Consider the following 15,289-nt stretch of genomic DNA (forward strand, 5'->3'; position numbering starts at 1 on the left):
GTCTGGCTCTGTCGCCCAGGCTGGAGTGCAATGGCGTGATCTCTTCTCACTGCAACCTCTGCCTCCTGGGTTCAAGCAATTCTCCTACCTCAGCCTCCCAAGTAGCTGGGACTACAGGCACGTGCCACCACACCCAGCTAATTTTTGTATTTTTAGTAGAGATGGGGTTCCACCATTTTGGCCAGGATGGTTTCAAACTCTTGACCTCGTGATCTGCCCAAAGTGCTGGAATTACAGGCGTGAGCCACCGCACCTGGCCTGAGACAGGGTCTTGCTCTGTTACCCAGGCTGGAGTACGGTGGCGTGATCTCAGCTCACTGCAGCCTCAATCTCCCAGGCTCAAGCGCTCCTCCCACCTCAGCCTCTTGGATAGCTGAGACCACAGACGTGCCCCACCATGCTTGGCTAATACTTTTTTAAATTTTTTGTAGAAACGGGGTCTCACTATACTGCCCAGACTGGTTTGAACTCCTGGGCTCAAGCAATCCTCTGGACTTGGCCTCCCAGAGGGCTGGGATTACAGACGTTAACCACCTTGCCCAGCATAATTTAACTTTTAATTAGAACTGCATTTTACAACTAGCTCAGAAAATTCTTGAACATTTAACTATCAGCTCTTGCAAGTTTGTGCACATGGGCTCTGGACCATGGTAACCAGAAATGCAGTCACTGGTAGAAGGGAGGTGATAACCCTGCTGTTCTCTGCATTTGTCAGGACACACCCAGATCCCTTTATTCCAGAACACATAACTTAAAGTCACACTTTCCTGAGATCAGAGCAGAGGATGGCAGAGAACCAAAGTCACGAGTGTGTGAAACAACGGAGAGGAGCGGCGCTGTGCAGCCTGGAGCTCAAGACACTTGCATGAGCGGTGAGATGAGAGGGACAGGGGAGAGCTTGTTTTCAAATATTTGAGAGGCTGTTGTGTAAGGAAGGATTAGGGCTCTAATTGGTGGGTAGAAAAGGATACAAGGAGACAGATTTCTGTTCAGTATAAGGAAGACATTTCTGGCTAGGCATGGTGGCTCATGCCTGTAATCCCAGCACTTTGGGAGGCCAACGTGGGCAGATCGCTTGAGCTCAGGAGTTCGAGACCAGCCTGGGCAACATGGTGAGACCCGTCTCTACTAAAAACAAATAAAAATAATTAGCTGGGAATAGTGGCACACACCTGTGGTCCCAGCTAGTCAGGAGGCTGAGACAAGAGAATCACTTGAACCTGGGAGGCAGAGATTGAAGGGAACTGGGATCACTCCACTGCACTTCAGCCTAGGCAACAGAGCAAGACCCTGTCTCAAAAAAAAAAAAAGATATTTTTGGGAAGGAGAGAAAAAAGAAAGAAATTTCTTACAGGCAAAGCTATCTAAAGAGGAATGGGCTGAAGGCAATCCTGCAGAATATGGGCAATGACCTTTAGGGATGGTGTAGAGATGGTTCACGCATCAAAAGAGGGGATGGGGCTGGATAATCTTGAAGACGTCCCCCAAGTCTCTGACTACCTGATTTTTGATCCATTGTGCTTTCTAGTTGCCTCAGCCTCCCAAAGTGCTGGGATTACAGGCGTGGGCTGCCGCGCCCAGCTTACAACTATCAATTTTATATCTAATCTTACATCATCTATCCTCCCATCTACCTACCATCCATTCCTCCAGATTCTTGTGGAACAAATGCCTGAACATATCATTGAGTCCATAAACACGTCAGTATGCATCTCTAAAACATAAGAGCATTTTGAAAATATACCCACAATACTTTTATCACACTTAAGAAATTAATATTGATTCTCTAATATCATCTAATATCCAGTCATTATTTAAATTTTCCCATTTGTGTCATAAACTTTTTATTTGAGCTTGCTCAAGTCAGGATGTAGGGTCCACACATCGCCATGGTTAGATGGGTTTCTTAAACCTCTTTTAGGCTGTAAGTTTCCCTTTCATTATTTATTTGTTGAAGGTGCCGTGTTATTTGTCATATAGAATTTCCCAGTCTGAATTTTTAAAAATTGCATTATGGCATATTTAACAAGTTTCTCTTTCCCCTATATTTTCTGTGATAACGTTTATGTTTGATTCTTTGGGAAGGAATGCTTTGTTGGTGGTGTCCTGTATTTCTCACTAGGAGAATAGTGGAATTTTGATTTTGTTTTATAGGGATTGCTTTTCAATTCAACTAGGAGAATAGTGAGAAATACAGTGAGAAATTGTGACGTCAGCAGCCACTGATGATAAGCGTCTAGATCTGTTAATTCATTTGCAGTTCTAAACGGTGATCTTCTAATTTTCTCATTGCTCCTTTAATTATTAGCTGGAATACTTTTATAAAGAGAAATATCCCCTTTTCAATGATATGGTTACGCTGAAGTACAGAAAATGTAAGATAAATGCTTCATTACCTGTGAAATTCAAAGCAATGAGTTGGCTCCCAAGCATCTGCCTAGGAAGAACAATGAGCTGTTTTGTTTCTTTTTAAGCATTATGATGAACTAATGGATTTAAAAATATTTGATGTGTTTTAATCAATTGCTATTGTTATTTTTATTAATATTCAACTTGGCTTCCAAGTCTTTTTAACATGATCTGACTTATTTCCTTGATTTCTAATATGACAAGATCTCTTACATTCCACATTCAACTCATGTATTTTCTGCCCCAGATCAGGAATTGGCCATTTCTCCAAAGAGTCCTGGTTCCTTTCAATGGGAAATGAAATTTAGAGACCAAACTCTGGGCTCCAGTGTTGTCAGCCTACTAGGTTGATCATAGTTTCTGGGGCTTTTTAGTAGAAAGAATTAGGAAGTTCTCCTTCCTTTCTTCTTCCTCCTCTCCTTTCTCTTCTTCCTCTTCGAAAATATATTGTGGTTCATACGACATTTTCTTTTCTTTTCCTTTTTTTTTGGAGACAGAGTTTCACTTTGTCACTCAGGCTGGAGTAAAGTGGCATGATCATAGTCCACCGCAGCCTTGAACTGGGTTCAAGTGATCCTCCTGCCTCAGCCTCCTGAGTAGCTGGGATTATAGGCACATACCACCATATCTTACTAATTTTTTTATTTTTATAGAGAGAGGGTCTTACTATTTTGCCCAGGCTGGTCTCAAATTTCTGGCCTCAAGTGATCCTCCTGCCTTGACCTCCCAAAGTGCTGGGATTACAGACATGAGCCACCATGACCAGCCCATATGACATTTCAAACAAGACTACGAGATGTTTTTTCAACCTCGTCAATCTCACATTTATACTTTTTTTCCCTTATTGAAAATCCCAATTCTCAAAGACATCAATAAAATTACTTATTTGCTTTATTTCACAAAAAAAATGCAACTGTCTTACAATAACTGTTCTAAGACCCACCACCAACCATATGACTATTGAAATACATTTAAGGTCGTTATGTAGTTCTTTTTGGTTTTATGGCGTATCATAATAATGAAAATCAAATTAAAGTCACTTGAAGTAGTTCCTTCCTGTGTGGTTATTCCGCCAACTCAGAGTGTACATTTCAGTTCATTTGTTTCATTTTGGTTTTGTTTCATAGGGATTGCTTTTCAATTAAAAATATTTTATAATTATGTAAAATGATTACAAATTTCTAAAGTCAAATCTACAACAGCAGGCATATTCAGAGGAGTGTGACTTCTATCCCAGTCCCTCTACCCTATCTACTTCCCAACAAAGTCTTTTTTAAGAAATAAAGTTTTATGGCATATTCTCTCATTAAAAAAATAAGGAAACATTTTCATATATCAAATTCTCTCTTTTTAGATAAACAGTAGCATACTATAGACAATTTTTTCTACCTTGTTTTGTTTTCACTAGCCATAAAGTCTAAGGATCACTCCATATATTCCTCGTTCTTTTTTACAGCTGTGTAGTACTCTGCCATGTGAACTGTGCATAGTATTATTTGGATGTTAAACACATTTAATCAAAATTAAAATTTAAGGAAATTTTAGCATGGTCAGCTGAAATAGAATTCAGGTGTCTCTCAAAATTTGTCCTCCCACCTATTTATTTGTTTTATTTTTGTTTATTTATTTATTTATTTGAGACAGAGTCTCACTCTGTTGCCCAGGCTGGAGTGCAGTTGTGCTATCTCGACTCACTGCAGCCTCCACCTCCTGGGATCAAGTGATTCTCCTGCCTCAGCCTCCCAAGTAGCTGGGATTACAGGCACGCACCACCATCCCTGGCTAATTTTTGTATTTTTAGTAGAGACGGTGTTTCACCATGTTGACCAGACTGGTCTTGAACTCCTGACCTCAAGTGATCCACCCACCTCAGCCTCCCAAAGTGCTGGGATTACAGGCATGAGCCACTGCGCCCGGCCCAGTCTTTTCATCTACTTAGTGGCTCCACCCTGTTTTTGCAGTTCCTACACACTTACCCCTGGGATACCCTCTCCAGCCTGAGCAAAGGTTCTACATTTTTCAAATGATTTTCAGACATCTAAGATTAGCCCTTTATTGGTCCAACCCCTTGAAACCTTATTCCTTTTTAGGTGACAATGCATGCTGAGGAGTTCATTTAAAGGTAATTTCTGCAAAACCTTTACCCATCACATGCCATCTCTCCTGAGTAACAAGAGGCCTTGATCTCAAACTCCACATATGCCAGGGCATCACCGGTTGCTCTATTAAGCACCATGTTTCAGTGCCTTAGTACTGTTTGTAAAACAAAGCAACTAATAATCAGAATTTATCCTGGGATCTTATTGGGAAGAAACATCCTGAAATAACCAAGAAATAACAATAATGGTAAATCATATGTATAAATGAATTCTAGAGATGAAGGCTGTGGCAACAGTCTTTCTTTCCTTTTAATATTCCTTATGTGGGTAGCAGAAATATCAAGTTTGCAAATACTCTGCCTGGGAGAACCGCCACTTGTACCTTTCTCTTTCTGGTACAGTCTTTTTTTTTTTTTCTTTTTTTAAACGGAGCCTCTCTTTGTCATCCAGGCTGGAGTGCAGTGGTGCTATCTCGGCTCACTGCAACCTCTGCCTCCCAGGTTCAAGTGATTCTCCTGCCTCAGCCTCTCAAGTAACTGAGATTACAGGCGCCCACTTCCATGCCCAGCTAATTTTTGTATTTTTAGTAGAGACGGGGTTTCACCATGTTGGCCTCGAACTCCTGACCTCAAGTAATCCACCCGCCTTGACCTCCCAAAGTGCTGGGATTACAGGGATGAGCCACTGCTCCTAGCCCCTGGTACAGTCTTTACACTGAAAAACGGATGCACCTACCACAGTATAAAGATGGGAGTTTACTTTGGAGACAGAAGACAGGAATGAACTGCATCAAAATGATAGGCTCAGAGTTAAAAATATGAGAACCGTCAGTGATTTCACACACACACACACATGCACACACACACACACACACACACACAGACGCATGCACATATGCATGCCTATAGCTTATTTCTTTAGAAACTAGCCACAGAACCCATTGAAACCCAGAGAGCTGTGGAACACAATTAGAAAAGGCCTGGGACAGGAGGGCTGGAGTGAGCCTTCTGAGCAGCCCAGACCTCACATTAGCAGGACAGAAGTTAGCAGCGTAGAAGCAGCTGGCAGGACTAGAGCTGCCTAGCCATTATAGCTGGGTTTCCTGGCATCTGTCTTGAAGGGAAGGGGGATTGGTTACTATTCAGTAACTTCAGGTTTTTTGTTTTTTGTGTGTTTGTTTGTTTTGAGACTGAGTCTCACTCTGTCACCCAGGCTGGAGTGCAGTGGCGTGATCTTGGCTCACTACAACCTCCGCCTCCCGGGTTCAAACGATTCTCCCGCCTCAGCCTCCCAAGTAGCTGGGATTACAGGCACTTGCCATCATACCTGGCTAATTTTTGTATTTTTGTAGAGACAGGGTTTCACCATGTTGTCCAGGCTGGTCTTGAACTCCTGACCTCAGGTGATCCACCCACCTCGGCCTCCCAAAGTGCTGGGATTACAGGCGTGAGCCACCGCGCCCAGACAACTCTTCATTTTTTTAAAGAAAATTTCAGAAGATTGCCTCAGGTGAAACCACAGTAAGGAGATCTAACATATGGCATTATAAAATATGAATTTGGGCATGATGATATGCATTATGCAATTTACCATGACATTTATAAAGTCAAGGGATTTAGGCCTAGAAGTGTCCATGAAAGATTCAATGCTTTAGGTCTTCATTTATTTGTTTGTGCTGTGCACTTGGTTTGGAATTCCCTTTCCCTGTATCATTTCATCCTAATGAACGCCTACTTATTTTTTAAGACTCAATGCTATTACCTCCTCTATAGTTCCATAACAGTATATATATTTCCTGTAACAATATTATGTTGTATTATAATTGTTTGCATATTGCCTGTTTTCTACTAGGCTGTCAGTTCTTTTGGGAGAGGAGCCCAGTCTTCATACCTCAGTGACTAACTTAAAAGACACTTGATGTTTATTAAGTGATGTCAGAGACCAACTAATCCAGTTCCTCTAAGTAGATGAAACTGAGGCCCAAAGGATTTCCATAAATTCAGTAATTCCACAAGTATATACTGAGTATTTACAATGTGCCTAGCGCTAGGTAAGGCTAAATGTCTTTAGTGTATTTTAAATATCATTTGGAGTATGCTTAATTTCCATTTGTCCAGAGATCAAAAGATAAATGCCAGCATCTCATGAATCCTCAAAGCAATATTGAATTATGTTCAGAATTGGTTTATATCAATTTATTTTATTGTACTCTAAGTGTGTATCACCCAAGAATGCAATCTGCATACTGCTAATGTGTGTGTGTGAGGTGGGGGAGGGATGGTCAGAGTGTTCAATGCCCAATATAATGCCCAATTTAGGAAACACTGGGTTATATTAGGTTAAATAGATTCTTCCCTGAACTTTCAACATGCTTGATAGTGACTAGTTAAATCTCCAAGAAGAGCATCTAATATGCACTGTTTCCCAAATTTATTTGCCTAGTGAACCTCCCCTTTTTTGTTGCTCCTATTAATAGCTGCCTGCAATGCAGTTCGGAAGAACATAGAGTTGGTCGGTGCAGTTCTTTGAAGAGTCCTCATCTGTGTTTAGTGAGGACTTCAAAGGGAAACTGTAAGCTCCCTGGGGAGGAAAGTGGATGGAAGGGGAGAAGGGAAGGCCGGAGAAGGAGCAGCTAACCAGGAAGACACGGGAGGTAGCAGGTCACTGTCTAGGGTCTAAGAGAGGGACAGGGGCCATAAGCAGACAACTGAGGAGCATGTTTCCATGCTAAGCTCAGTGAGACATTTGGGGCTCAAGCAGATGGGCTTTGGGGTCAAGAGATAAGGTGTTTCACAAGGAGAGCCAGGAGCACTTCTGCAGGAACATGCAGCATGTCTTCAGGCCTCTGGGGATTCCAGAGGACATGGCACCCTGCCTGCAGGTCCCCAAGGACTGCCACATGTCAGGGCCACAGTGTCTGTGGGGACAGGAGAGGAAGGAAATGAAGCAGGCACAAAGTAGGTTACTGAGTGGTTTCATCAACATCTGTGACACCCACTCCCAGGGGGTTCCTGGACATATTTGGGGTTAGGTTTAACAAGGGGCAGTAGCTATGGGGAACAATATTTGCAGGGCCCAATGCAAAATGACAACACAGGCCCCTTGTTTAGAGTTAAGAATTTCATGATTGTGACAGCTGAGCATTAAACCAAGCACCAGGCCCTTCTGAATGCAGACCTCTGGACAACTGTACAGGTTGCACACCCATGAAGCTGCCAGAGAGTTCTCAGTGGTCCTAAAGCCCACTTGAATCTCCTGGCTACTGTGGCCTGGAGAAACCAGGTTACGCATGGTTTATATAAAAAGTTGGTCTCCCTATTCCAACGTATCTGATTATCATGGAAACACTGTTTACCAGTTGCTATGGTCTGAATGTTTGTGTCTCCCCTCAACCCCTGCAACATTCATATTTAATCCCCAATGCAGTAGTATTAAGAAGTGGTGCCTTAGGAAGTGATGAGGTCCTAAAGTGAATGGGGTGAATGGGATTACTGCCCTGTGAGAGAGAACCAAGGGCGCTTGTTTGCCCCTTCCACAATGTGAGAACGCAGCAGGAAGATATCCTGTGAAGCAGAAAGTAAGCCCTCACCAGATACCACATCCGTTGGTGCCTTGACTTTGATCCAGAACAGTAAACAATACATTTCTTTTTTTTTTTTAATTATACTTTAAGTTTTAGGGTACATGTGCACATCGTGCAGGTTTGTTACATATGTATACCTGTGCCATGTTGGTGTGCTGAACCCATTAACTCGTCATTTAGCATTAGGTATATCTCCTAATGCTATCCCTCCCCCCTCCCCCCTCCCCCCACCCCACAACAGTCCCCGGTGTGTGATGTTCCCCTTCCTGTGTCCATGTGTTCTCATTGTTCAATTCCCACCTATGAGTGAGAACATGTGGTGTTTGGTTTTTTGTCCTTGCGATAGTTTGCTGAGAATGATGGTTTCCAGCATCATAACAATACATTTCTATGGTTTATAAAATACCCAGTCTATGGCAGCTCAGATGGACTAAGACACCAGTCATTCTGGGTAAACTTTGTTGTAAGATAAATTTATTTATTTATTGTTAAATTTTAAATATTTTCAGAGAGGGGGTCTTGCTATGTTGCCCAGGCTGGTCTCAAACTGCTGGGTTCAAGTGATCCACCTGCCTTGGCCTCCCAAAGTGCTGGGATTACAGGCGTAAGCCACCATGCCCAGGCTGTTATAAGATAAATTTAACCAGCCTAGGCAACATGGCGAAACCTCGTCTCTACAAAAAGTACAAAAATTAGCCGGCATGGTGGTGCATGCCTGCAGCCCCAGCTACTCAGGAGGCTGAGAGGTGGGAGTATCACTTGAGCCCAGGAGGTCGAGGTTGCAGAAAGCCATGATTGCGCCACTGCACTCCAGCTTGGGTGACAGAGCAAGACTCTGTCTCAAAAAAGAAAAAAAAAAAGTACACATTAAATTCCAGGAACATATTTAATGCAGAAATCCAGGCACATTCAAGCTATTTCCATATATAGTACTCACACCATAAACAGCATCCATTCTCCTCACGCTGAGAATCAAGGCAGATTTGCAGCTGCATTGCAGACGAGTATAACCTTTGACTTTGTCCTGGGGTTCATACCAGTATTCATTTGGTGCTGAGGCAGCACTCAGCACCCGTGCTGATTTCCCTCAAAAATGAAAAACAAACTCAGGTGGAAAATCTGGGCATGCAATGTCATTTGCTATTTTTGGAGATGAGGGAGAAAAAAGAAGTTGTGGAAAGTGTTGTAATAAGCAGCATAGAACAGCAGCCCATGAGTGTGAAATAAAACAACACCCGCATGCTCTTCTTGACAGTGATTGAATGGAAGCAACGAAGTGGAGGAGAAACCACGCTGGGGAGAGCTGGCATCCCCTTGGGAGAAGCCTTTCCAACAGTGGACTGAAAGCATGAGTTACCTTACCCTGTAAGATTAATCTCCAACCAAACAGCAATCTTACCTCTGAGATACAGGCATACCTCAGAGTTTATGTGGGTTTCAATCCCAACCACTGCAATAAAGCAAATATTTGGAATAAGTGAGTCACACAGATTTTTTGGTTCCCAGTGCATAGAAAGGTTATGTTTATACTATACTGCAGTCTATGAAGTGTGCAATAGCATTACGTCTTAAAAAAGTATATACCTTAATTTAAAAATACTTTTTTGCTAAAAAAAAATGTTAACAGTCATCTGAGCCTTTAGTGAGTTGAAATCTTTTTGCTAGTGGAGGATCTCATCTCAACACTGGTGACTGCTGACTGATCAGGGTGGTGGTTGCTGAAGGTTGGGTGGCTGTGGCAATTTCTTAAAATAATACAATGAAATTTGCCGCATTTATTGACTCTTCCTCTCACAAAAGATTTCTCTGTATTGTGAGATGCTGTTTGATAGCATTTTGCCCACAGGAGAACTCCTTTCAAAATTGGATTCCATCCTCTCAAACCCTTAGTTGATGCTTTATCAACTAAGTTTATGGAACATTCTCAATCGTTTCTTGTCATTTCAACACTGCTCACAGCACCTTCACCAGAAGCAGCTTCCATCTCAAGAAATCACTTTCTTTGCTCATCCACAGAAAGCAATTTCTCATCTGTTCAAGTTTAATCATGAGATTGCAGCAATTCAGTCACATCTCCAGGTACCACTTCTAATTCCAGTTCTCTTGCTATTTTCACCACATCTGCAGTGACTTGCTCCATTGAAGTCTCAGACCCCACAGTCATCCACGAGAGTTAAAATCAGCTTCCTCCAAACTCTGTTGATGTTGATAGTTTGCCCTTCTCTCATGAATCATGAGTATTTATAATAACATCTAAAATGGTGAATCCTTTCCAGAAGGTTTTCAATTTACTTTGCCCAGATCCATCAGAGGAATCACTATCTATGGCAGCTACAGCCTTACAAATGTATTTCTTAAATAACAAGACTTGAAAGTCAAAAATCACTCCTTGATCCATGGGCTACAGAATGGATGTTGTGTTAGCAGGCATGAAAACAACATTCAGCTCCTTGTACATCTCCATCAGAGTTCTTGGGTGACTAGGTGCATTGTCAAGAAGCAGTAATATATTAAAAAGGAATCTTTTTTATTTTTTGAGTAGTAAGTCTCAACAGCAGGCTTAAATTATTCAGTAAACCATGCTATAAACAGATGTGCTGTCATCCAGGCTTTGTTGCTCCATTTATACAGCACTGGCAGAGTAGATTTAGCATAATACTTAAGGGTCCTAGGATTTCCAGAATGGTAAATGAGCACCATGTTCAACTTAAAGTCACCAGCTGCATTAGTCCCTAACAAGAGAGTCGCCTGTCCTTTGAAGCTAGGCATTGACTTCTCTCTAGCTACGAAAGTCCTAGATGGCATCTTCTTCTAGTAGAAGGCTGTTTCATCTCCATCGAAAATCTATTGTTCAGTGTAGCCACCTTCATCTATGATCTTAGCTAGATCTTCTGGATAACTTGCTGCAGCTTCTCCATCAGCACTTGCCTCTTCACCTTGCACTTTTATGTTATAGAGATGGCTTCTTGCCTTAAATCTCATGAAGCAACCTCTGCTAGCCTCAGACTTTTGTTCTGCAGCTTCCTTACGTCTCCCAGCCTTCGCAGGATTGAAAAGAGTTTAGTGCCTTGTTCTAGGCTAGGCTTTGGATGAAGGGAATGTTGTTGCTGGTTTGATCTTCTATCCAGCTCACTGAAACTTTCTCCGTATCAATGCTGTTTCGCTTTCTTATCATACTTGTGTTCACTGGAGTAGCACTTTTAATTTCCTTCAAGAATTTTTCCTTTGCATTCACAACTTGGCTATCTGTTTGGCACAAGAAGCCTAGCTTTTGGCCTGTCTCAGCTTTTGACACACCTTGCTTACTAAGCTTAATCATTTCTAGCTTCGGATTCAAAAATGAGAGATGCACATGATTCTTCCTTTCACTTGAACACTGAGAGGCCATCGTAGGGTTGTTAATTGGCCTAATGTCAATATTGTTGTGTCTGAGCAGTGGAGCAGTCAGTATATAACATTTATTAATTAAGCTTGCTATTCTGTATGGGCACAGTTTATGGTGCCCTAAACATTAACAATGGTAACATCAAAGATACCTGGGGCCAGGTGTGGTGGCTCAGGGACTGGGCAAAGTGGTTCATTCCTATAACCTGAGCACTTTGAAAGGCTGAGATGGGAGGATCTCTTAAGCCCAGGAGTTTGAGGCTAGCCTGGGCAACACAGTGAGACCCCATCTCAAAAAAAAAAAAAAAAAAAGAATACTATAGATTGAGTGGTTTAAAAACAACAGAAATTTATTTCTCACAGATCTGGAGGCCGAGAAGTCCAGGATCAAGGCACTGGCAGATTCAGAGTCTGATGTGGCCTGCTTTCTGGTTCATAGTTGTTATCACCTTGCTCTGTCCTCACATGACTGAAGGAGCAAGGAAGCTCTTCTGAGTCTCTCTCATACGAGCACTAATCTCATTCATGAGGGTTCTGCTCATTCATGAATTTCCTCCCAAAGGTTCCGCCTCCTAATACCATCACCTTGAGGATTGGGATTTTAACCTATGAATTTTGCGGGACACAAACATTCAGTCTATAGCAGATGGAAGATGAAGCCCAGCTTTCTAGGAAGCCCCCACCCGCAGAAATTTATGGAGCTAAAAAACTGCCCTTCAACTCCCTCCATTTCCTTGGCTGGCCTCTTCCCCCGACATCTCCCTGTTGTTTCTCCACAGGGAGCTTTTATTCATTGAGAAGGCCAGAACAGAGTGGGGACAGCCATGAGGTGCAGATAGTGGGAGCCTAGGGCGGCAGAGAAGGATGACCAGAGGGCCTGGGGGCAGGAGTGTCACCTATGGAAGGAATGGATCCTGGGGACAAGCTGCGTTGTCGGCTCTGACTAGGTGGGGCGGGGCAGGACTGTGCGATGGGCAAGTGTGAACTGTTACTGTCTCCATTATGCAGATGAAGGAACTGAGACTCGATCATGAGGGGGATTCAATTCTGGTCCTTGTCACTCTGAGGCTTGTGTCCTTTCTGCGCTACCAAGCTTTGTCTCTGCTTCTCAAGATGGTGATACAACTACTAATTCATAAAGCTCTGCAAGAGGGTGGTGGTTTTGAGTTGTAATTTCAATGAAGAGGGAGAAGAAGTAGAAAGAAACTAGGTTTATTTTTATGCTTTGGAATATTGATTGAAAGAATCAAAAGGATATAAGAGGATAAGGCAGGAAAAGTGGAACAAGAGCTAAACAACAAAGCCTGGAAAATAGACTATACTAATATCTTAAAAAGCTGATGGATTGAAGGAAAGATTCGGGTGAGGGGGGACAACTGAAGATATGAATCATGGGTAAAGAGGAGGATGTGATGGTCTTTGCCAAGCACCAGCACTGGCAGTGGGAGTGTGTGGGGTGGGGTCTAGCGCTCATGTTCATGACATAGAGGAGGACCTGGGCCTAGAGCCACTCAGTAAACTGGTGGCAGAGCCAGGGTAAACTTTGGTCTCCTGGCCCCACCTTCCAGGGCTCTTTTCTCTATTTTGTGCACTCAGAGAAGGGAGTTAAAAGATCAAAGATGTGGAAAGCACATGTGAAAAGTTAGAGGACACCCACATAGTAAGAAACTTAGGGCCAGGTGTGGTGGCTCATGTCTGTAATCCCAGCACTTTGGAGACTGAGGTGGGAGGATCACTTGAGCCCAGGAGTTCAAGACCAGCCCTGGCTACATAGTGAGACCTCATTCTATGAGAAAATGAGAAATAAATAAGCCAGGCGTGGTGGTGTGAACCCGTAGTCTCAGCTACTCAGGAGACTGAGGAGGGAGGATTCCTTGAGCCCAGGCTGCAGTGAGCTATGATCATGCCACTGTGTTCCAGCCTAGATGACAGTGAGACCCTGTCCCAAAAAACAAAACAAAACAAAACAAAAAACAAGAAACAAACAACAACAGAAAAAAAACAAATTTAGGCTTACCACTTGAGGTGGACTTGATACTCCTAAAACCTGAGGGGTAATAAAAAGATGCAGGTTGAGGTGCCAGGAACAAAGAATCCAAGACTGCAGCTTTGAGGCTTTCAAGGGAAGAGGGTCCATCATGACCAAGAAAAAATTTTCAGCACATGCTGTGCAGGTACCAGATGCAAGGAGTACTATAAAAAGTCTGAAGATGGCGACCTCCAGGGAATTTAGTCGCCCCAGCAGGAAGGCAGCCATTCCAAAGACGTCCCAATGCAGTGTATAATAGCCACAGGCAGTTAAGTTAGTCAGGAAAGTGAGCACCCAGAGAGAATGGAAGGAGAGAGGGAAAAACTGAAGAAATGTGTAGAAAGACAAAAATAAGACTTAACATTACGATTTTAGACAAAGCAGCATGAGGAAATGTAAATTTTTTTAAAGAAAGTGATTAGATAAAACATCCAAATGGAAACACATCTTGTAAACCGACGAAGCTCACAGACTGAATACAAAACATCACATTTTTATTTTAAACTTAAAAAATTAAAAATGTCGGATGTGGTGAAGCATGCTTATAGTCCCAGCTGCCCAGGAGGCTGAGGCGGGAGGATCTCTTGAGCCCAGGAGTTGGAGGCTACAGTGAGCTATGGCACCACTGCACTCCAGCTTGGGTGACACATCAAGGCTGTCTCTAAATAAATAAATACAAATAATTACATTCAAATAAAGTAAAAAGTCCAAGCACTACAAAAAGGTTTAAAAAGTCTTACTATCACTGCCACCATCCGTACTCTTCTCACTATTAACAATGTATTCATGACTGCAGAAAAGTATCTTACAATTATATAGAAATGACTCATAATTTATCACATACATACACAACACACACTTTTAGAAATGCGTACACATGGGTCGTACAGTACACATTCTGTGGCATGCTATTGCCTTGATTGCATAGTCATATATCTCAGAGCTCAAACCACCTTTTCAAAATCTCTACGGAGTAGCGTGCTATATGGTATTACATAATTATTTAGTGAATTCACCATTGTTGGGCATTTAAGCTGTTTGAAGATTTTGCTGTTACAGCTATAGAAATGAACATACTTGGCATATTTTTTTGTGTGTAACCTAAGGTAAATGTTTGGCAGTGGAATCACTTGGTCAAGGGGTATGTATGTATTTCTTTCTTTCTTTTCTGATTTTGAGACAGAGTCCCACTCTGTCACCCAGGCTGGAGTGCAGTGGTGTGATCTCAGCTCACTACAACCTCCGCCTCCCAGGTTCAAGAAATTCTCCTGCCTCAGCCTCCTGAGTAGCTGGGATTACAGGCACCCGCCACCACATCTGGCTAATTTTTTTGTATTTTTAGTGGAGACGGGGTTTCACCATGTTGGCCAGGCTGGTCTCGAACTCCTGACCTCAAGTGATCTGCCCAACTCAGCCTCCCAAATTGTGGGGATTACAGGAGTGAGCCACTGTGCCTGGCTTAATTTTTTTTTTAACTGTGGCAAAAGACACCTAAAAATTACTATCTTAATCATTTTTTCAGTGTACAGGTGAGTGGTTTTAAGTACATTCATATTGTTGTGCAACCCTCACCACCAGCCATCTCCAGAACTCTTTTCCTCATCTCGGACTGAAACTCTATACCCATTCAACATGAACTCCCCATTCTCTCCACTGCCCTCCGTGTCCCTCCCGCTAGCAAACACCATTCTATTTTCTATCTGTATGATTTTGACTACTCTGGCTACCTTGTAAAAGCGGAATCATTTGTCTTTTTGTGACTGGCTTATTTCACTTAGCGTAACG

General features: G+C 42.5%; 1 protein-coding gene across 7 annotated transcripts in view; it reads left to right on the plus strand.

Annotated features, from left to right (window-relative positions):
• Window positions 1–15,289, plus strand: part of ANXA4 (annexin A4) — a 183,305-nt gene that overhangs the window by 42,403 nt on the left and 125,613 nt on the right. For 2 of the 7 annotated variants that reach the window (XM_047444083.1, XM_017003943.2), the window contains one exon: window positions 716–872. The exons of the other annotated variants lie outside the window; for them this stretch is intronic. The gene's annotated coding sequence lies outside the window, so the exon portion shown is untranslated. The remainder of the gene's footprint in view (window positions 1–715; window positions 873–15,289) is intronic. 7 annotated transcript variants of the gene reach the window in all.

Source organism: Homo sapiens, chromosome 2 (assembly GCF_000001405.40).
Source record: "Homo sapiens chromosome 2, GRCh38.p14 Primary Assembly".
In the NCBI taxonomy this organism is placed as follows: Eukaryota; Metazoa; Chordata; class Mammalia; order Primates; family Hominidae; genus Homo; species Homo sapiens.